Consider the following 20,305-nt stretch of genomic DNA (forward strand, 5'->3'; position numbering starts at 1 on the left):
GTTTAACCCTCATTATCCTTGTAATTAATGCACGGATGGCAGAACACTCAGGTACAAACATGAAGACGCTGAACTGTTCCATGTTGACCAGCAGTCGTTGCATTTGTTCCTGCTACCTGGGTGGGGCACAGTAGCATGCAACACACTGAACAGAGTCTTCTCTGGGTTACAGACATCAGCGTGGACCATCCTGATGAGAAGTCCATAATCACTTATGTGGTGACTTATTACCACTACTTCTCTAAGATGAAGGCCTTAGCTGTTGAAGGAAAACGAATTGGAAAGGTGAGCTGGTGCCAATTTTGTGAGTTGTGAGACATAATTAAGGTTAATTGAGCCCTCATTCTCCCATGCACTCATAAAATTTGCCAATAGCAATTTGTAGTGGACTCTCCGGATGGTAGGGAAATCGGCAGAAGCCTCTTCATCCTGAAGGGTAACAAGAGGTGGGAGAGATGGCCACCATATTTAGGAAAGGATCTGGGGGCTATCTCAAACCCAGCAACATCTTTCTCCTCAACTGCTCCAGGAAATTGGGTATTGGAAATCTGATCGAGTTGCCTAATGTCATGGGTGTGACATCCTACTTACCACAGTTGAAAAGGCCCCAGCATCGTGCTTTTTACTTCTCATTTGGCTGATGTTCACCTGCCATGTTTTCAAAACACCTCAGACCAGATGACATTGTCCTCTCAATGCAGTGAAGTCAAAAATTAATGGGCATTTATGGGACAGGATCAAGCTAAATTGAGCCCTTTTTGTTTCTCTAGGGATTTCAGATGTTAGGCTACAGAAATCATTCAGAATCTCTTTGCTTGGGGGTTGGAAAGTTACAGAACCAATTACAGTTAAGCTGTCATTGCTCACAAATAATAATCACAGTCTGGGCCCCTCTTAGCAGATGGTTCCTTGAGTTAAAATGCTTGTGCCCAGGTACAGCTGAACTGTTTCAGAGCTGGCCAAACTGTTTCAAAGCCGGTCGTTTTGTGTGCATGCACTCGTATAGGGTTACAATCGTATTTAACTTATGGAGTGACATGATCTTTTCAATTTTTCTATCCCTTGTTGCCAGGTGCTTGACAATGCTATTGAAACAGAAAAAATGATTGAAAAGTATGAATCACTTGCCTCTGACCTTCTGGAATGGATTGAACAAACCATCATCATTCTGAACAATCGCAAATTTGCCAATTCACTGGTCGGGGTTCAACAGCAGCTTCAGGCATTCAACACTTACCGCACTGTGGAGAAACCACCCAAGTAAGATGCATATTGTAGTGTGATCATTAATATGGAAAGACACATCACTGTAGCCAACAGATCCCTATGTTCTGATTTCTGTAATCTCATCTCTTAACTGAATGCCTTTCAGTAGTGTGTCCTACTCCTTTTCATCTGACTCTGTTTTGCTGAGATTTATGATAGATCATGCTCTCTCTGAGCCCTTCCCAATATAAATGTGCCACTGACATACAGGATATATGAGAATTCCAAGAAATGGTACAAGTCCCCAACCCCTTATCCAAAACCATTGTACCTAGTGTGTTTCAGGATTCCATAATTTTTGGATTTTAAAAAAACAGCACAGCTCATATGTTGTATATTATAAGACCCCAGATGGGACTAAGGCAATAGCCCATAAGCCCAGTAAGTATCTGTAGCAAAATGTGTAAATATTCACATTGCATTAGATAAAGAAAGATAATAGATAATTTCATAACAGTTCAGAACAGGTTTTGCAACCCAAAAAAAGTTTGATTTTTTTTCATATCTTTTTTAAGTTCATAATTGTTGAATAAGGATTGTAGACCTTATCTATTGCTTACCATAGTTCCAAAGTCGTTTTTTCTTTTCTGAAAACTCAGTTGCATATATCTTGGTAAGGTCTCTAAAACCCATTGAAAATTATATTAGGTAGACATTTGAAATAATCCGTGTTGAATGCATTCAGCTACACTGAATGAATGAAGTAAGTCCATTGTCCAGGATTTGGGGTTTAAACCTTGATTTAAGTGAATACAAAAGAGTATTGCATGCCTTTGACACCCTCAAATATAAATGTCAGCAACAACAAAGAAATTCCACGGTTTGGTATGTTTCAAGGTTTGTAATAGCCAATAAGCAACCTACTGATGTCTCTTTGACATGCATTTCATGTAAGTCAGACCAGAGTTAAATGGTTTTTAAAATGCATGACAGTGTGAAATTTTTTTTTCTCCAGTACCAAATGAATGTTTTCCCCTGTGTTTAGATTTACTGAGAAGGGGAACTTGGAAGTGCTGCTCTTCACCATTCAGAGCAAGATGAGGGCCAACAACCAGAAGGTCTACATGCCCCGGGAGGGGAAGCTCATCTCTGACATCAACAAGGTAAAGTGGATCTGGACTCTGCATGGGCCCTGACCTCCTGGAGGCTTCAGGTTCTATCACTAGGTCTCGACTGCTAAGAGGACAAGAGACTGGAAGGGGCTGTCCCCACCTGCCGAATTGACAATTGGCAGCTGGTGCTCAGGTGTGGCAAAGGACCAAGCAAGCAATGGTACCGGGTTAGGCTGCTGGAGGCTTCAGGGGGCAATGTTAGATTTTATCAAACCAGCTTTGGCGTAGGCTATACACCTTGCTACTCAGATACATATCACTTTACTTCTCATCTGAGGCAATTGTTTCAAACATCTTTAAATTACAGAAAGGAGAAATTGAAACCTTATTTCATGTGTTTCATAGTAGTTGTGGGGCTTAGGATGTTGGCTTCTTGCATTAGAGATGCTGTCAAATAAGCAATTTTAATCATCATGCCTATTATGCCTGCAGTTATAGAAATTCACAGCAGGCATTATTTCCAACTAGAAAGAAATTTGAAAAATTCTAGAACTTTGGTCACTTGTACAGAACTACATTCCTTTATGCTGCTCATTAAAATTTTTTTTTTAATGGAGGCAGGGTCTCACTATATAGCCCAGGCTAGTCTTGAACTCCTGGCCTCAAACAGTCCTCCCACCTCGGCTTTCAAAGTGCTGGAATTATAGGCGTGAGCCACTGCGTCTGGCCCCACTTAGATTCCTTCGAGTGGAAGGTTTGATTTTTTTTTTTAGGTGAAGAAATAGATTTCCTAGGAATGAATTTAATATGGACAGTAGGTCAGGATTTTGAAAGAAATTTCAGATGTGTAAATTTTTTAAAAGTGGCCCAGGGTGGAATGAATGAGAAATTCATATGAATTCTTAGAAGAATCATTTATCTTTTTTATATGATCAAAGCTATTTAAGATAATTTATTTCCTCTTAAAGTAAGAGATTTATAATTTACTTATATTGCTTCATAGCTACAGTTTTGTTTTCCAAGTACAACACAGAATCTTTAGATTTAGATGACGGAAGAGTGTTCCCATGAGGATACACTGAGAGAAAAACCCGTTTTTTTCCTCAAGGCTTGAGAGTCAGTGAGAGTGGGAATGGGATTTCCCATTCAAGCTGTCAGGTCCTTTTGAGAAATATTAGCTGTTGACTGTAACCACGGAAGTTTCCTTGAACACTGCAGGAAACTGTGTTTGTGTGTGTGTGTATTTTCATTTTTGTAGGCCTGGGAAAGACTGGAAAAAGCGGAACACGAAAGAGAACTGGCTTTGCGGAATGAGCTCATAAGACAGGAGAAACTGGAACAGCTCGCCCGCAGATTTGATCGCAAGGCAGCTATGAGGGAGACTTGGCTGAGCGAAAACCAGCGTCTGGTGTCTCAGGTTCTGCTCTTGACATTATTAAAAAGACTGTTGCTAGGGTAATCTAGAAACACAGACCATCCCCAGGGGCATAGGGCCAGAGGACAGCTGCTTATCGACATTCATTATTCTGGAGGAACGTCAGGTCACCTTGGCCCCTTCCCATTAAGAGGATGTTTATAATTTCTAATATACATTTCTATTTATCTAACTTTTCATAGATTTGGAAGCAGCTCAAGCAGAGTTTGTTTTAGAGCCATTGAGTGTGTGTGAACTGTTCACATTTATAAGTTTTAACAGTTTCTCTCTTTTCTTTAATCTTTGACCAACTAATCCTACGAGGCAGTTAGACTGGTTGTGAAATAAACAAAAATGGCTTGCTTTTCCACCTGGCTTGACATAAGCTATCACCTGCTCTAGCTTTTCAGTAAGGTACTAGATACGAACTGGGCCCTTCTGCAAAATGAGCAGTTACTAGTTTGCTTTGAGGAGGGCATCTAAGCTCAAGGCAGAGACCAGTGGGGTGGGGGACTCAGGAGTCAGATTTGGCTTTAAGACCACCAGGGATTAATGTGTGCTCAAGATTTCATGTCTGTTCTTTTTCCTTTTTTGGAGGGGGGGTGGCGCGGGAAATAGGTTTTTTGGTTTTGTTTTTGTTTTGTTTTTGAGGCAGAGTTTCACTCTTGTCATTCAGGCTGGAGTGCAGTGGCGCAATCTCGGCTCACTGCAACCTCTGCTTCCCAGGTTCAAGCGATTTTCCTGCCTTAGCCTACCAAGTAGCTGGCATTACAGGCACGTGCCACCACGCCCGGCTAATTTTTGTATTTTTAGTAGAGACAGGGTTTCACAATGTTGGCCAGGCTAGTCTCGAACTCCTGACCTCAAGTGATCTGCCCGCCTCGGCCTCCCAAAGTGCTGGGATTACAAGCATGAGCTACTGTGCCCGGGTGGATTTTTTATTTTCCTTCTTTTCATTCCGTTTCTCTGTAGGACAACTTTGGGTTTGACCTTCCTGCAGTTGAGGCCGCCACAAAAAAGCACGAGGCCATTGAGACAGACATTGCCGCATACGAGGAGCGTGTGCAGGCTGTGGTAGCCGTGGCCAGGGAGCTCGAGGCCGAGAATTACCACGACATCAAGCGCATCACAGCGAGGAAGGACAATGTCATCCGGCTCTGGGAATACCTACTGGAACTGCTCAGGGCCCGGAGACAGCGGCTCGAGATGAACCTGGGGCTGCAGAAGATATTCCAGGAAATGCTCTACATTATGGACTGGATGGATGAAATGAAGGTAAAACCTGACCGAAAGGAAGGACGACAGAGCTGATCCAACCAGGGCTCTCTTTTCTGTGACTCATTCACTAAACCCCTACGTACAGCTGTGTGCCTTGTCTAACTGCCCACATGTACAGCTAGAGAGGAGCCACATCACCCATGGGAAGATTGCTAGCTCAGGAATTAAATGAGACGTGAAGTGTGAAAAAGTTGTAGAGACCAGTTCAGTAGCCAGAGCTCTGTTTCTGTGACTTAGATATATTCCAGTGTAGGGAATCAATCACATTGTGGTTTTCTTTATTTTTAAGTTTTCAGGGTTAAACTAACTTACCGTTTCATTGATCTGTGAGTGAGTGGTACTACTTTGGGCAGGGGTCCCGGAGAGGTGGTATGGGGAGAAGGGAGGAGTGGTAGGTGCCATGGACAGAGGAGAGGTCAGGAACCAGGCAGCCAGAGTTCTGATTGTGAGTGCCTGAGTTGCCTAATCCTCTTTGAGCCCTCTTTCTTGGTCTTTAAATGGAGATTGTACTTACTATCTACCTCATCCAATTATTGCAAGGATGGAATGCGGTAGTATGTGCACAGATCATGGGATGGGCTGGATGGCAGTGGCTGGTCATGCCATTTATTGACTGCTCTTAGCATAGAGTTCCAACCTTTCCCCCTTCCCAGGAAGAGACCTGCTATCATGCCATGGCCCTGTACCTGTTCATGTCCTCCAATGCAGGCCATGGAATGCTCAGCCATGCCAAGCAGTTCTCCAGCTGGGAGGCCTTTAGCCTTGTAGACAGAAGAAAATAGGACAGTTTTCAGACAGTCCCATGAAGCTTCCTTTGTCTCAGCACGCTGTGTTCCCAAGCTTGACCTTATGCAAGAGATTCCCTTCCCAGGATATAAGCTGTCATCTGTTGCCTACCTCTTGGACTGTTCCTGACAGAGGGGCAAAGTCATCTGATACCATCAGTTTTCCCTCCTATTGTTCCAGATTTACAGTGTTCTTAGGTCTGGTCTCTCTTGACCTCTCAAAATAGAAATGTTCGTAAAATGTAGCAGAGAGGGACTTTTCATTTTATAAATCATGATGCACATTGTAACTCAGTTGGTCCAGAGACTTCCTCAGAAGTAAGAGTGAAGTAGAAATCTCATCTGGCGAGGATGTAGAATGAGGCCCCCAAATTTCGCTGGTTGATGGAAGAAACAAGAAAATATCAGTGGGTTCAAACTTAAACTCTAGAAGTTGCTTGGGGTCTACTAAGCAAGACAGCCACCTGACCCTGCTCTCCTTATTGGTTTAAAGATGTGGCTTGTAAGCTTTTCAAGTAGATTGTTTTCCCATTGATTGTGTAAGTACAGTAGAGGCATACCAATAAGCTCCTAACAGAGGAAAAACATTCACTTACAGGCTCAGCAACTTCTAAAAGATTTCTTTCAACTTTGAAGTGACCAAGTCTATCACCTTTATTTATTTATTTTTGAGTAGTTGTTGCAGCGGTTTCTTCTTGAAGCTCCAGTTTATATTTTGGAATCTTTCATACAGCACCCCCGCCCACGCTCCCCACTGCCCCCTCCCCCCCACCCTGGCCCCGCTGGCCCTCACCATCTTTTTCTTCTATTCTGCACTTTTTAGTGTAGATTTGACTTACTTATTCCAAGTTTGGTGATCCTTAGTTTGTGATAGCTCTCCTGACTCAGGCCTTCAGGTATGATTTGTTTTGTTCTGGTTTGTTGGCCATCATCTTCCCCTGAAGGTGTGGGGTCCATGGCAGACTAGAGGGAAGGCATAGCTTCATTGCTGGCTCTCTGCTTGTCGAAAGATGATGTGATGCTGAAGTCAAGGCTATAGTCACAGATGTCCTTTTGGTTGCTTCTTGTGCACAGGTGCTAGTATTGTCTCAAGACTATGGCAAACACTTACTTGGTGTGGAAGACCTGTTACAGAAGCACACCCTGGTTGAAGCAGACATTGGCATCCAGGCAGAGCGGGTGAGAGGTGTCAATGCCTCCGCCCAGAAGTTCGCAACAGACGGGGAAGGTAAGGATGGCCCATTCCAAGCATTACCTCCGGGTCACCAGAGATTCATATTTATAGAAACACAGTGGGGCTTTTGAAGTTACTGTGCCACTATACATTCCTGGTGGGTTTGTCATGGGAGCATGAAATACGGTGGAGTGGCCTTCTGAACACTAACTCCATCTTGTTTTTCTGGAATTGATACATCCTTTCCTTAAATACGCAAATGCTGCCTTTGCTTTGAGTGGCTTGGTGTTTGGCAGTGAGACTTTGTCATACCTCAGTCTCTCTGGCCATGCACCGACACCCTGGTGTGGCTGTTCCAGCAGCTCCTGGCTTTCACAGCTGGTTGCATATACCTCTCTTTGGAGGATGTTTAGAATGATTTGGTTATGCTTCGTGTATTTCTAGAAACAATTATATGCAGCTGCCTTTTTCATATGATTCAAGTGCTTTCTTGCAGGAGGATGATCACTTTGTCTGCGGTTTGGCCAAAAAAAAATAATGTTTATCATTGCCCTCACTCCTGTTCTAGTCAAGTTGTTAGAAGGTGCTCCATTGCCTTATCGCATGGCCCTGCATTTACATTTAGCAGTGAGCTGGTAATCATAAGAATATGGGGTGTAGCTTACTGCCTGCCAGTGAGCCTGCACCCATGCTGAGCTCCCTCACACAGCCACGTTCCTTCCTTGATGTTAAACAGGTTACAAGCCCTGTGACCCCCAGGTGATCCGAGACCGCGTGGCCCACATGGAGTTCTGTTATCAAGAGCTTTGCCAGCTGGCGGCTGAGCGCAGGGCCCGTCTGGAAGAGTCCCGCCGCCTCTGGAAGTTCTTCTGGGAGATGGCAGAAGAGGAAGGCTGGATACGGGAGAAGGAGAAGATCCTGTCCTCGGACGATTACGGGAAAGACCTGACCAGCGTCATGCGCCTGCTCAGCAAGCACCGGGCGTTCGAGGACGAGATGAGCGGCCGCAGTGGCCACTTTGAGCAGGCCATCAAGGAAGGCGAAGACATGATCGCGGAGGAGCACTTCGGGTCGGAGAAGATCCGTGAGAGGATCATTTACATCCGGGAGCAGTGGGCCAACCTAGAGCAGCTCTCGGCCATTCGGAAGAAGCGCCTGGAGGAGGCCTCCCTGCTGCACCAGTTCCAGGCAGATGCTGATGACATTGATGCCTGGATGCTGGACATCCTCAAGATTGTCTCCAGCAGCGACGTGGGCCACGATGAGTATTCCACACAGTCTCTGGTCAAGAAACACAAGGACGTGGCGGAAGAGATCGCCAATTACAGGCCCACCCTTGACACGCTGCACGAACAAGCCAGCGCCCTCCCCCAGGAGCATGCCGAGTCTCCAGACGTGAGGGGCAGGCTGTCGGGCATCGAGGAGCGGTATAAGGAGGTGGCAGAGCTGACGCGGCTGCGGAAGCAGGCACTCCAGGACACTCTGGCCCTGTACAAGATGTTCAGCGAGGCTGATGCCTGTGAGCTCTGGATCGACGAGAAGGAGCAGTGGCTCAACAACATGCAGATCCCAGAGAAGCTGGAGGATCTGGAGGTCATCCAGCACAGGTGAGCGGGGCGCTGGTCAGCCACTGGCCTGTTCCTTGTGACCACCAGTGGCCCAGGAGGTGACCACCCTGTCAAATTGCCATTTCAGATTTGAGAGCCTAGAACCAGAAATGAACAACCAGGCTTCCCGGGTTGCAGTGGTGAACCAGATTGCACGCCAGCTGATGCACAGCGGCCACCCAAGTGAGAAGGAAATCAAAGCCCAGCAGGACAAACTCAACACAAGGTGAGCACGTGGCCAGCAGTGTGCCAGCCTCCCACGTGTGGGACTGGGGAGGGTGAGGTCACTCATCGAGCTTTGCTGTTGGGAATTTCCCACATGGGGTCATCGACATTGCAACACTGATGTCATGGCATTGGCACCTGCCTTTTGACATGTCCTTGTTTTGTAAGAAGTGTCTCTCAGGGCAACATCATTGGTTGCAGGAGGATTATCTGAGTCAGCCCAGCATCTGCCCCTCGCCACACCAAAGTTAGGGCCTTGGTTTGACCTGTGTCCAGTGTAGAAGGTATTAAGATGACACCTGTGCTATCCATTTTATAGTAACTTCAGGAACAGGACTCTAGCATGTTTAACACTTAATTTGCCAATGAAAGTCCTGATTGTCAGGGCAGACCTTTGTTCCAGTCTTATCTTTCTGTTGAGTAAACATGTTTGAGTAGGTTATGGCACCTGGCCCCAGTTTTGAAGGTTACCATCAGTCTTAGATTTGGAAAACGTTCATTAGGTAGAGTTCAGAGATGTGTAAAATGTGTCACAGACATGAATTAATTGACTCTGGGAATGGATATCTTGTAATTGCTCACATTGGAGCTCTGTAACACATTCCTCTTCGTGACAGGCTTTTTCCAGATTACATTGCATCCCTGAGCTATTTCCATTATATTTGGTGTTCACAGTTTGAGTGAGATGATTTTCCAAAAAAGCATGTAGTCAAAGCACAGATGGAGAAAACAGATAAGCAGCATTAACCCATCACTGTTCCTTTTGCAATCCAGCCATGGTCAGTCTTCCCTTTTTCACACTCGCTGTCTGCCCCTGCACTCACAGGTGGAGCCAGTTCAGAGAACTGGTTGACAGGAAGAAGGATGCCCTCCTGTCTGCCCTGAGCATCCAGAACTACCACCTCGAGTGCAATGAAACCAAATCCTGGATTCGGGAAAAGACCAAGGTCATCGAGTCCACCCAGGACCTGGGCAATGACCTGGCTGGCGTCATGGCCCTGCAGCGCAAGCTGACCGGCATGGAGCGGGACTTGGTGGCCATTGAGGCAAAGCTGAGTGACCTGCAGAAGGAGGCGGAGAAGCTGGAGTCCGAGCACCCCGACCAGGCCCAGGCCATCCTGTCTCGGCTGGCCGAGATCAGCGACGTGTGGGAGGAGATGAAGACCACCCTGAAAAACCGAGAGGCCTCCCTGGGAGAGGCCAGCAAGCTGCAGCAGTTCCTACGGGACTTGGACGACTTCCAGTCCTGGCTCTCTAGGACCCAGACAGCGATCGCCTCGGAGGACATGCCAAACACCCTGACCGAGGCTGAGAAGCTGCTCACGCAGCACGAGAACATCAAGAACGAGATCGACAACTACGAGGAGGACTACCAGAAGATGAGGGACATGGGCGAGATGGTCACCCAGGGGCAGACCGATGCCCAGTACATGTTTCTGCGGCAGCGGCTGCAGGCCCTGGACACTGGATGGAACGAGCTCCACAAGATGTGGGAGAACAGACAAAATCTCCTATCCCAGTCACATGCCTACCAGCAGTTCCTCAGAGACACGAAGCAAGCCGAAGCCTTTCTTAACAACCAGGTAAGGTTTGTTCCTGCCTTTGCTTCCTTTCGGTGAAAGCAGCCCTGGCTGCCTTTTGAAATGTTTTGGCTGGGGCAGCTGGTTTAAACCACACCTGTATGGAATTATATGGATAATTTAGAGACTGATTTTTTTTTCCCCATACTCTTAAGGCATTGAAATCCATCACGTTGTAGGGGACAGGAATTGAAAGTTGCCATAAGAGCTGCTTTGCCTTACAAAGTACTGTTTGATTTCAACTGCCATTGAGGATCTCTTATGTGTTCATAGTATGTCTTCATAATTGAGGTATTGATCCAATTTAAAAGATACAGTGAGGGCCAGGCATGATGACTCACTCCTGTAATCCCAGCTCTTGGGGAGGCTGGGACAGGAGAATCACTTGAGCCCAGCAGGTCAAGGGTGAAGTTAGCCGTGATCGTGCCACTGCACTCCAGCCTGGTGGCAGGGTGAGACCCTGTCTCTTAAAAAAAAAAAAAAAAAAAAAGTACGGTGAGGATTTTTTTTTTTCTTGAGACCAGTCTGTCTTCTTGCTCTAGAAGGGTCAGGGACTTCACCTGAGGACACAAAGTAGAGATTAGAGAAATAAAAACAGCTGAGGATAGTCACCAACTTCAGGGCTGTTACTGTCTCAAAGAGAGAGTATGAAGGGTACATTGCTGTTGCCTTGATAGGCACGTGAGAGGACCCTTGAGGCTGATACACAAAGCTTTGGTTCCTTTCCTCACTCTCTTTGGAAAAAAAAATTTAGAGCATTAACCCCTGAGGGAAATTCGGTCAGTTACAGTGTCCCACTGGGTTTTTTTCCTCCTAACTTTTAATTTGATGTGATTTAATTATTTCATGTAAGTGTAATGAAGAAAGTGTTGTGAACTATGTTGCACGGAAATGTAGAACACAGGAAAATGAGATCCTTCATTGATCTGCTATGATTTGTTCCTCTTTTTAAATAAGGAGTATGTTCTGGCTCACACTGAAATGCCTACCACCTTGGAAGGAGCTGAAGCAGCAATTAAAAAGCAAGAGGACTTCATGACCACCATGGACGCCAATGAGGAGAAGATCAATGCTGTGGTGGAGACTGGCCGGAGGCTGGTGAGCGATGGGAACATCAACTCAGATCGCATCCAGGAGAAGGTGGACTCTATTGATGACAGGTACAGTTTTCTGAGGTTCTTAAGGGAGCCTTGCACCTTGGGGCTCTCAAACTTCTGAATCATTGGCCAGAAGCCCTTGGGAGTTTAGGTATAAATTTCCCAGTGGGCAGAATATGGGTGCCCAGCAGAAGTTCATCTACCCATACAGAAAATTAGTGAGCTGTGCATGACTGCCTGAGAATGTGGGTCTGGTGAGACATGTACAAGTGTCCACAAAAGGAAAGAAAGCCTGAGAAGCCAAGCTAATTCTTAACCGAGGACCTGTAAGAGCCGTAGTGCTGCATCGCGATCAGGTGTAAGCCATGCCCTTTGAGGATTAACACACGCTTGTGTCACCTGATAGGACCCCTGGCGCCAGGTATTCCCAGCCAAGCCCGTGTTCCCCTTCATCCATGAGAAAGAAGCCTGTCAGGAGAGTGGGAAGGGAGGGTGAAGCTTGCTTGTTCTGAGTACCTGGCAAAGCTACAAAGGAACATTACCTGGACTTTTTTAGAAAATTGGCTTGGATAGTGCTGTAATAGGATCTTTTTCATGATGGAGAGGTAAATAAGAGCAAAGGTTATTTTCCTCTTCTGCCAGGGCATCTCCAGGATTGGATACACTTTCTTCATTTCTTGTTTAAAATTATTTTTTTATTTACGTGTGTGTGTGTGTGTGCGTGTGTGTGTCTGTCTGTCTGTCTGAAAGATTTCCTCCCCGGCTGGAGGCCAGTGGACTCTGTTTGACCCTAACTCTTTGACTCACTCCTTACTCTTGCCTTGCCCCGGTTACTTAAGTTGGAGGTTGGGGCAGATCAGGGGTTGGATGCACTAGCACAGGCCAGTCTGGGCCAGCCACTGGATCAATCACTAGCCCCTGTTCCAGTTTGGGTTGAATTTAAGGGCTTGCTGTGAGACTGATGTAATCAAAAAACAAGCCCTTCCTTTCTGCCTCTCTTCTGGCCTTCAAGTGTGTTGGAAAGGAAAAATATTCCTTTGCTTACCACATCTGAGAGGGTTTCCTGGGACCCCTGGTCAGGTTGACTTAAAATAAGATGGGTGGAGAGGGGATTACTCTGTTTCCAATAAAGATTGAGCTCCTGTCTTTACCACTTCCAATCTTTTTTTCTGAGCTGATTCCCAGGCTGAACTATATGTTCTAGGGTGGTATTGTGGAATAGAGAATAACTTATGTTAATTATAATTTTGTATCTGTTGCTTTTAAAACAGCTGCAAAAAAGAAAAATAAATCCACCAAACCCTCCTTAAATGAGCATGAGAAACAGCAATTGGGCAAAGCATTCATAACCTAGGGAAAAAGAATTTCCTTTTTTTGTAATATTAACTCTGAGTATTTTGTAAATAAGATATCCTATGTACTTCCATGTTAGATGCACACAGCTGGTTTCCTGCAGGCGGGCTTGGCTGTTAGGGATGTGTGCATTCAGGCAGGCATGCAGCTGCCTTGCTGCTTCCTCGGTTTCTTTTTATGTCCCCAGTGCTGCAACTGCACAAAGCTGTTGGAAGCAGATGATGCTGTCTAGACTCCTGGATATGATAAAACGTTTCAGCAGCAGCAGCCCTCAGTTGTGGCTTAACCTTCATTTTGCCCTTGACCAAGAGCCTGGGCTACTGGTGTTCCAGAGCTTCCTTAGGATTCCTCAGTTTTAAAAATGAAACGTAAAGATAACCCTGTACTATCAATAAGCATAATAAAGATGGAAGGAGGGAGCTTTCCGATGACCTGCCATCAGGAGAACTACATTTTCTTATTTTTCTCCATTGATGTTAACTGAATTCTGATTTCACTTTAATATCCCCAGAGGCCCACAGAATTGAAACTGACCCTAGAGGGTACTTGTCAGTTATGAAAACACACACATCTGTGAGTTCCAGGTGCTGTAGGAGCACAAACTAAGTAAACATCTAAACCTTCAGATATAATCCCCGCTCCTCGAAACATCCTGACACTGTGGTGAAGCGATTCTCCTAGAATGTAAAGTCATTATAATGTGCTTACGTTCAGGAAGTTTCCTGAGTTGTTGAAAGAGTACCAGAACAAAGACACTGACTCTAACAGATGTGGGTGGGGCATGAGTGGCCTTCAAAGTGCCTGTGAGTGGGAAGAGACTGTCCTCAGCCTGCCCCAGGGGATGTGAACAGGGAGGGAGGGAGCTCCTGACCAAGAGGGAAATTCCAGCCACAGCACAGTTCATGGGGAGCAAGGAACAGTATCCAGCTTCATAAAGCAAGACCCTGTCTCACACCGGAAAACAGGCTCAGAAGTTACCCAGCTGTTTCACTCAGGCACCTGGGGTTCTTGACTATTCACAGAAACCAGAACACCCGCATCTGCTTCATGTGATGAGGGAGCTTTTTTGAGTCTTATTACAGGGAGAGAAAGTGAGAGATGGAAAAGCACTCTTTAAGACTGTGGAAACTACTCCCTAGTTTTAAAAGGTCCTTCTCAGGCCCTTCCCTGTAATTGAATCCGTGATCCAACATGGAGAGAATTTCCTGAGTTTCACTTCCCACGAATGATGTCCGTTGCACTAGTAAACCATTAAGCCACACTCACTTCTTTTAAGCGTCTTCTGAGTCAGCGGCAGTCCCAGATGCCTGTGTGGCTGTGTTTCACACCACACGAAGGCCGTTGTCACACCTGCGCATAGATCGGTGTCATTTGGACATGTGACTCTAAATCCTTGCCTCTTTCTTCCCATCTTGATGGTCCCACTATAGGAGAAAGGCTGCCTGGGCCGGTAACTGCCGGGCATGCATGAGAGTTGATTATATAAGAAATACATTCAGGATTCTGTATGGTCATATTTCTCCCTTAATGAATCTTTCCAGTGTTTGAAGTTACTTTCATTTCTGTTATTTCCGTGAGAGGCGAGGATGTGTGTCCTGTTGTTAATTTCCAGTATCTGGGATTCTTCCCTGCCACTGTAGGACTTCAATGAGATGCCATGCCAAAGGGAATGGAATCCTTTATCCCTTTGACTACTGGCAGGACTCCTGCATTTGTCACTAAACTCCAACTCATATTATCTCCTTTCTAAAGATTTGCGTTCTTGAACTCCCCTAGAAATAGAACTGGAATTTGAGGGAAGGGAATTTCCTTTTGACATTCCTAACCCATCCACATTCTTAGATGACTAATTCTTTTTAGCCCAAATTCACTAACAATCTTTTATTTTTTTAAATTTAATTTTGGTTTCTGATGATAGATGGCAATGGCATAAAATGTCTCTGGCCTTTATTATTTTTTGTTGTTGTAAAAGCAGTAAATGTCTGACATTTTCAAGGGGAAAACTACTGCCCTTAATCCCATCTGTAGCATATGCCATTTAAGTGTTTGCTTTCTAACCCATGCCTTGGAGTTTTATATCATTTAATATGTATAAACTATTTTCATTTAGCATTATAGTATAATTATTTTTCTACGTTTGCATTTTGCCTATGTGGTATAAGCATATTAAGATCCCTTTTCCTGATGCTATGGAACTCCTTTCAACTTAAAAAAATTAAAAAGGCATTATTTGTGTCTAACATATGCCTAATGATATTTTTATTTACAATAATTGTATGTAATACTGTAATTTACATAATATAAATTATATATGATGTTATAACATGTAAATATGTATAATTTCTACTGTTCTGTAGCCACTGGTACCTGCAGGAGCTATAGGGGCAGAGGGCTTTTCCCTTTGATTCTCCAGGCAGACAATGGCTATGACACTGCATTGTCAGCAGCCACTGAGGGCCCGTGTGGTGCATGCATCTCTACTCTAAGATCTTTCTTTCTCCTGGGGAAGTTTCTTCAGACACCGGTCAGCAGCACGTGTTCACCAAGCTGCTCTTACTCAGCGTGTTGGAGAATCCAAGGCTATGTGTTCTTCCTCATCCCTGCCTCAGGGTTTGGTGGATAGAGGAGAGACCTTGTGCAGGCACAGGCAGAGAGAAATTGCTCTAAGAATCGAATGAAAACCCAGCTCTCCTCAGTTGCACTCTGCCTTTATCCATCTTAATACCCTGAATATAGACTGGCTTTCTTGTTTAGGCAACTCAGGAGTATCAAGGAAGTGTATGTGTGGCAGTGCTTTTGAATCCTCAGTGGGTCCTCCCCTATTGGAAATGAAGCTCTCCGCTATTGTAGTGGAGCCACTGGAAGGCAATCCTTTGCTAGGCATTCACGCTGCTATTTCTCAGTTTCCAGTCTCTAAGCCACTGGGTGCATGAAGGAAGTTTGCCAAAGAGTGCTGGCACCTTCACAGCAGATGGGGAAGGAGCCAAGTAGGGAGCGAGCACCCCCTTTACCTTAGCGTTTACCAAATTCAGCAGCTCTTTCCAGTTCTTACAAGTTATTTATTTAAGGTTTTGTGTTTTAACTTCTTTGAGCTTTAGTTACCCTTATCAATTGATTAAAAGTGGGATTGAGTTAGTATATAGTCTTACAGGTCTAAAAATTTTCATTCCTTTTTGTTGTATTTTTGGTGAGTTTTTTTCAAGATGAGAAACTCTTTATCAGGAAACATTTGTTTAAAGCCAGTTACATGATTATATATATTTTCTTAGCCTTGTATGTGTCACCCAGTTATGAGCTTCTTGAAAATAAGTTTCCACTTCTCCCCCGGTGCCTAAAATAAGGACTTGTACAAAGCGTGTGCTCATATTTTTTTCTTAACACCAGATTAGGAAGCAACAAATTTGTATAGATCATTTGACAGTATGTTCGGCCTGTTGTGTGGTTTGGGCAGATTTTTGGGTCTCTCTGGGACCATGGCTTACTCCTTTGGAGGATGCTAAAATCTCTTTATCTTGTCTCCTTCACATTATTGAGAACTGCAAGCAAACTCTTTTTAGCATAGTTAGGAATTCAGGAAATAAATTGATTTGTATTCTGTATTTCAAGATTCTCTACTTCCTTTTTTAAAAATTATTTTTGTTACCATTCTAATAGACATAGGAAGAATCGTGAGACAGCCAGTGAACTTTTGATGAGGTTGAAGGACAACAGGGATCTACAGAAATTCCTGCAAGATTGTCAAGAGGTATGTTACTCTTTAATCCCTCTATTCCTGTGTTCCAGTAATAGCAATTGCCAGCCAGCATTTAGCACAAGAGCCTTTTGAATTATAAAATTAATGAAACCAGAAATCCATAGCACCCATTTGACTCGCAGGCAGGGATACGTGGCACTTCATCAGTTCTCCAGCCTACAAGGTACAGCTTAATTAGATCATTATAATCTAGACTATTATATTAATAGTATAGTACTGCACTGTTCATTACAGTAGACACCAGCCACAATGTCTTTATGGTTGGTTGGCTATTTCATTTTAAATTAACTATAATTACATAAAACTAAGAGCGTGGTTCTTCCATCACTAGCTGTATTTTAAGTGCTCAGTAGCCAACTTTGACTAGTGGCTACCATGTTGGACAACACAGATATAGAACATTTCTGTCGTCAAAGGAAGTTGTATTGGATATTGATGTCCTAGAATATTGTGCAACCTAGAAGTATTTAGTGTCATGCTTTCACTCTTTAAAGCAATGTACATTTCAATGATATGGAAGGAAAGAACTAAAGGGAACTGAAACTGGCTACCAAGTAAGAAGCAGAGATTTTCAAAAGACAAATTAGTTTCTTATTCGCTTAAGACCTTCATCTATCCATCTTTCAGGCTGTTCCCATGTGTATCTAACATGCAAAGAGCAGTAATGCTGATTCCAAGCACCAAGTTTTAATGTGGCATTAATCTGATGATCATTGTACTATTTCATGCTCTTCTGATACATGCACAAACTTTGAAAACTAAAGTTGGCCAGAAAAAAGTAGTTTCTCTGCACGCTAGTTGGAGAATAGTATCTAGCTGATTTCACGTGTGAGTTCGTGAGCACACCATATTTCTCTGTCTGCCGGAGAATAACAGACTCAGCCCTCTCTGGTTTATTAAAATAAAAATCCTCAGGCAAAAATGGGGTGAGGAATATCCACAAAAAGCTGCAGGAACCTTGATGGGGCTAAGAGTATGGGGGTAGAATCAGGTCATACGCTGGGAATACAACTTCAATCATCACAGACACCCTGCATGCAAATGTGTGACTGTGCATTAAAAGAAATACGGCTCCAGTGACAGCTGCGTTAGATCACGTATGACAGAAGCAATCCTTTGCATCCGTTAAACTGCTGTCTTACTGTAAATCTTGTAATATGCTCTTGCAGCAAAACCTTAAGAAGGAAAGCCCCTAAACTATGAAGCTTAGGGTCTGTCAACTTTAAGCACCACATTGATGAATCTAGGTCTCTGGGGGATTTGCCCGGAGCCAGACAGGCTGAAGACAGGAGTGCCTCTTCTAAGTGACACGCAAGCATTAGTAACCCATTTGAGTAGGATACTCACTTACAGAGGCATTCATGTGCCAAGACAGGGCATAGAAGAGAGTAATGGGATCTAAAGTTAGCTATGTGGAGTTGCCTAGTGTGCTGCGGTAATACCAGTTGCCATTTTTCACTGGAGGGAGTAAAAGGGATGAAGAGGTGTTTGTAGCTTGGGCTGGGCCTTCCACAGATTGGTAGTCCCTGTTTCACCTTGAGAAACCATCTGTGACTCCCTGTAACCTCAGCCCATATTCCTGGGGGTAGGGGGTTCAATGGGATCCCACACTCCTGCTTTTAAAGGGCAAGTTAGTAAGATGAAATTCATTTACCTAACCATGGTAAAGCTCAGTTTAAATCTAAGAAAAAGAAGACCAGGGAGTGAGCAATGAGTGGCCAGGGGAACCCTTGAGAGAAACCTATTTGTATTTGAAATTTCCAGTCTCTTATTTTCCACTGACATATGTCGATTTCGTTAAGTAGACATGTATGGGAAAAGTAAGTAGATAAAGTTACGGTTCTTCCCGATAGAATCACAGGAAATGGTCAGTCTTAATAGGTCTTTAGATCTTTGTTTCCACTTGCTCTAAATGAGCATCCCTGGTTATGAGGAGTTCTCTCCTCCACACACACCTTGGCTGAGTTCCAGTGATTATGAGGCATGCCCAGGGGCTCTGTCTTCTGTGACTTCTCCTCAAAGGACACAGGAAAGTTTGGGTGGGGCTTTTTATGTCCAGGAGATGATTTGCAGATCTCTGTGTGACTGCTCTGCGAAATCATCCTGGTTTATCCTGTCTTCCCTTGTCCTGCCTGTCTCTCCTTGAGCCACATTAGAAGTTAGTACAGCCATAGTGTCTGTGGGAGGTGTCGGGTGTCCCACACCAGCATGTATAGTCTCTGCATGGTTGGTGGAATTTAGGTCAAGCTTGGGGGCTCTAAAACACTTGGTATAGTACTATAATCAAAAGGGTGATACAGTCATTGGCTATAAACTTTTCCATCATTCAGCCTTATTAAAATACACCCCTTTTAAGCCAGAATCTTTTGAGAATGGCGTTTGTGTGTGGACCAGCCCTACATTTGATAATCTACCTGTCATTCTGGTAGATATTTACAGAGCACTCAGAGGTCAAATTTAATACTATTACAGGATGTTGGTATTGTTCAAGGTATGGGGAATCCAGGGGTTTGTCTCTTTGTTCAGCTTCCTTCCTTGTTGGGTGCCTTGGTTAGAGAAGGTGTGGATTGTAAGATCCGCCCCTGTTACCACCCCCATAAACACCACCTAGATGAGGACAGCTATTGTACCAGCAATACAGTATGCTGGCATATACAGTATGCTGGAATGAGCAGGGACCCTCCTATTCCCAGTTACAGTGGAAAGATAGAGACCATCATCATCTTTGTAGTGGTTTTGTTTTGTTTTGTTTTGTTTGAGACAGAGTCTCACTCTGTTGCCCAGGCTGGAATACAGTGGTGGGATCTCAGCTCACTACAGCCCCCACCTCCCGGGTTCAAGCAAGTCTCCTACCTCAGCCTTCCAAGTAGCTGGGATTCCAGGCATGCGCCACCACACCCAGCTAGTTTTTGTATTTTTAGTAGAGACGAGGTTTCACCCTGTTGGACAGGCTGGTCTTGAACTCCTGGCCTCAAGTGACCCACCCGCCTTGGCCTCCCAAAGTGCTGGGATTACAGGTGTGGGCCACCACGCCTGGCCGGTAGTGTTATTTTAATGTGATATCCTGAAAAACGAATGAATGATTTTAAAGGTATTCCTTTTGTGTTGTATGTCCTCACATTACACCACCTATTCTCTGGAACTGATTTTTATTTTTCCAGGAAGGCAGTATATCTACATGTGTCTGGTACAGGGATGTGAGTTAGTCCTTTACTGTTAGCTTGATTCAACGATCAAAGCATTTTTTCCTTATCTTTTTCCAGTCTGCACAGTGTTCTTTTCTGCAGAGAATGAGTAAATTCTTAAATGACCTTTGTAAATGCCCACAAATAATAACTGTAGCTTTGGTTGCAGAGTGCTGATGAACTAGCAAGTTCCATAGATCCATTTCATTGTGCTGTATCGCATGATGCTTTATCTGTAGGATGATGTGTTCAGCAAAGAGCAGATTTGTTTATAAGCCTCTGATTTTTATGTAGCGCGCTCTCTCTCTCTCTCTTTTTAATCCCTCTTGGGTAAGTGGTTATGAATAGCGAAAATATGTGAATGTCCTTGGCACTTTGAATCAATAAATGCCTTCTGTTTTGTGTGTATGTACAGAATACTGGGAAAAATTTTGTCATTAAGTTTTACTTTAACTTCTTTTCCCCTAAGATTGAATAGCCATAGTCTTTCAGATTTTAGCTGCCCAGATAACTGGAACATAGATAATTTTTTCCA

At 44.3% G+C, this 20,305-nt stretch overlaps 1 protein-coding gene across 13 annotated transcripts in view, besides 5 other annotated features; it reads left to right on the plus strand.

Annotated features, from left to right (window-relative positions):
- SPTBN1 (spectrin beta, non-erythrocytic 1) overlaps positions 1-20,305 on the plus strand; it is a 215,120-nt gene that overhangs the window by 164,901 nt on the left and 29,914 nt on the right. For all 13 annotated transcript variants that reach the window (NM_003128.3, XM_017004781.2, XM_017004779.2 and 10 more), the window contains 11 exons: positions 173-285; positions 1,073-1,260; positions 2,252-2,369; positions 3,577-3,735; positions 4,705-5,007; positions 6,870-7,023; positions 7,706-8,576; positions 8,665-8,802; positions 9,628-10,384; positions 11,339-11,541; positions 16,486-16,576. In NM_003128.3, the coding sequence (NP_003119.2) occupies positions 173-285; positions 1,073-1,260; positions 2,252-2,369; positions 3,577-3,735; positions 4,705-5,007; positions 6,870-7,023; positions 7,706-8,576; positions 8,665-8,802; positions 9,628-10,384; positions 11,339-11,541; positions 16,486-16,576 (3,095 nt within the window). The remainder of the gene's footprint in view (positions 1-172; positions 286-1,072; positions 1,261-2,251; positions 2,370-3,576; positions 3,736-4,704; positions 5,008-6,869; positions 7,024-7,705; positions 8,577-8,664; positions 8,803-9,627; positions 10,385-11,338; positions 11,542-16,485; positions 16,577-20,305) is intronic.
- Positions 7,899-8,497: an enhancer, noted in NCBI's record as "H3K4me1 hESC enhancer chr2:54856263-54856861 (GRCh37/hg19 assembly coordinates)". NCBI's record gives its function as "activates a minimal SCP1, AML or CMV promoter by ChIP-STARR-seq in naive H9 embryonic stem cells {active_cell/tissue: H9 hESC(naive)}" and the evidence as "EXISTENCE:reporter gene assay evidence [ECO:0000049][PMID:30033119]".
- Positions 8,727-8,776: an enhancer, noted in NCBI's record as "active region_15766". NCBI's record gives its function as "activates an Ori minimal core promoter by ATAC-STARR-seq in GM12878 lymphoblastoid cells {active_cell/tissue: GM12878}" and the evidence as "EXISTENCE:reporter gene assay evidence [ECO:0000049][PMID:35858748]".
- Positions 8,967-9,026: a silencer, noted in NCBI's record as "silent region_11490". NCBI's record gives its function as "represses an Ori minimal core promoter by ATAC-STARR-seq in GM12878 lymphoblastoid cells {active_cell/tissue: GM12878}" and the evidence as "EXISTENCE:reporter gene assay evidence [ECO:0000049][PMID:35858748]".
- Positions 13,550-13,729: an enhancer, noted in NCBI's record as "active region_15767". NCBI's record gives its function as "activates an Ori minimal core promoter by ATAC-STARR-seq in GM12878 lymphoblastoid cells {active_cell/tissue: GM12878}" and the evidence as "EXISTENCE:reporter gene assay evidence [ECO:0000049][PMID:35858748]".
- Positions 13,970-14,029: an enhancer, noted in NCBI's record as "active region_15768". NCBI's record gives its function as "activates an Ori minimal core promoter by ATAC-STARR-seq in GM12878 lymphoblastoid cells {active_cell/tissue: GM12878}" and the evidence as "EXISTENCE:reporter gene assay evidence [ECO:0000049][PMID:35858748]".

The sequence above is a fragment of the Homo sapiens genome, chromosome 2, assembly GCF_000001405.40.
Source record: "Homo sapiens chromosome 2, GRCh38.p14 Primary Assembly".
NCBI lineage: Eukaryota > Metazoa > Chordata > Mammalia > Primates > Hominidae > Homo > Homo sapiens.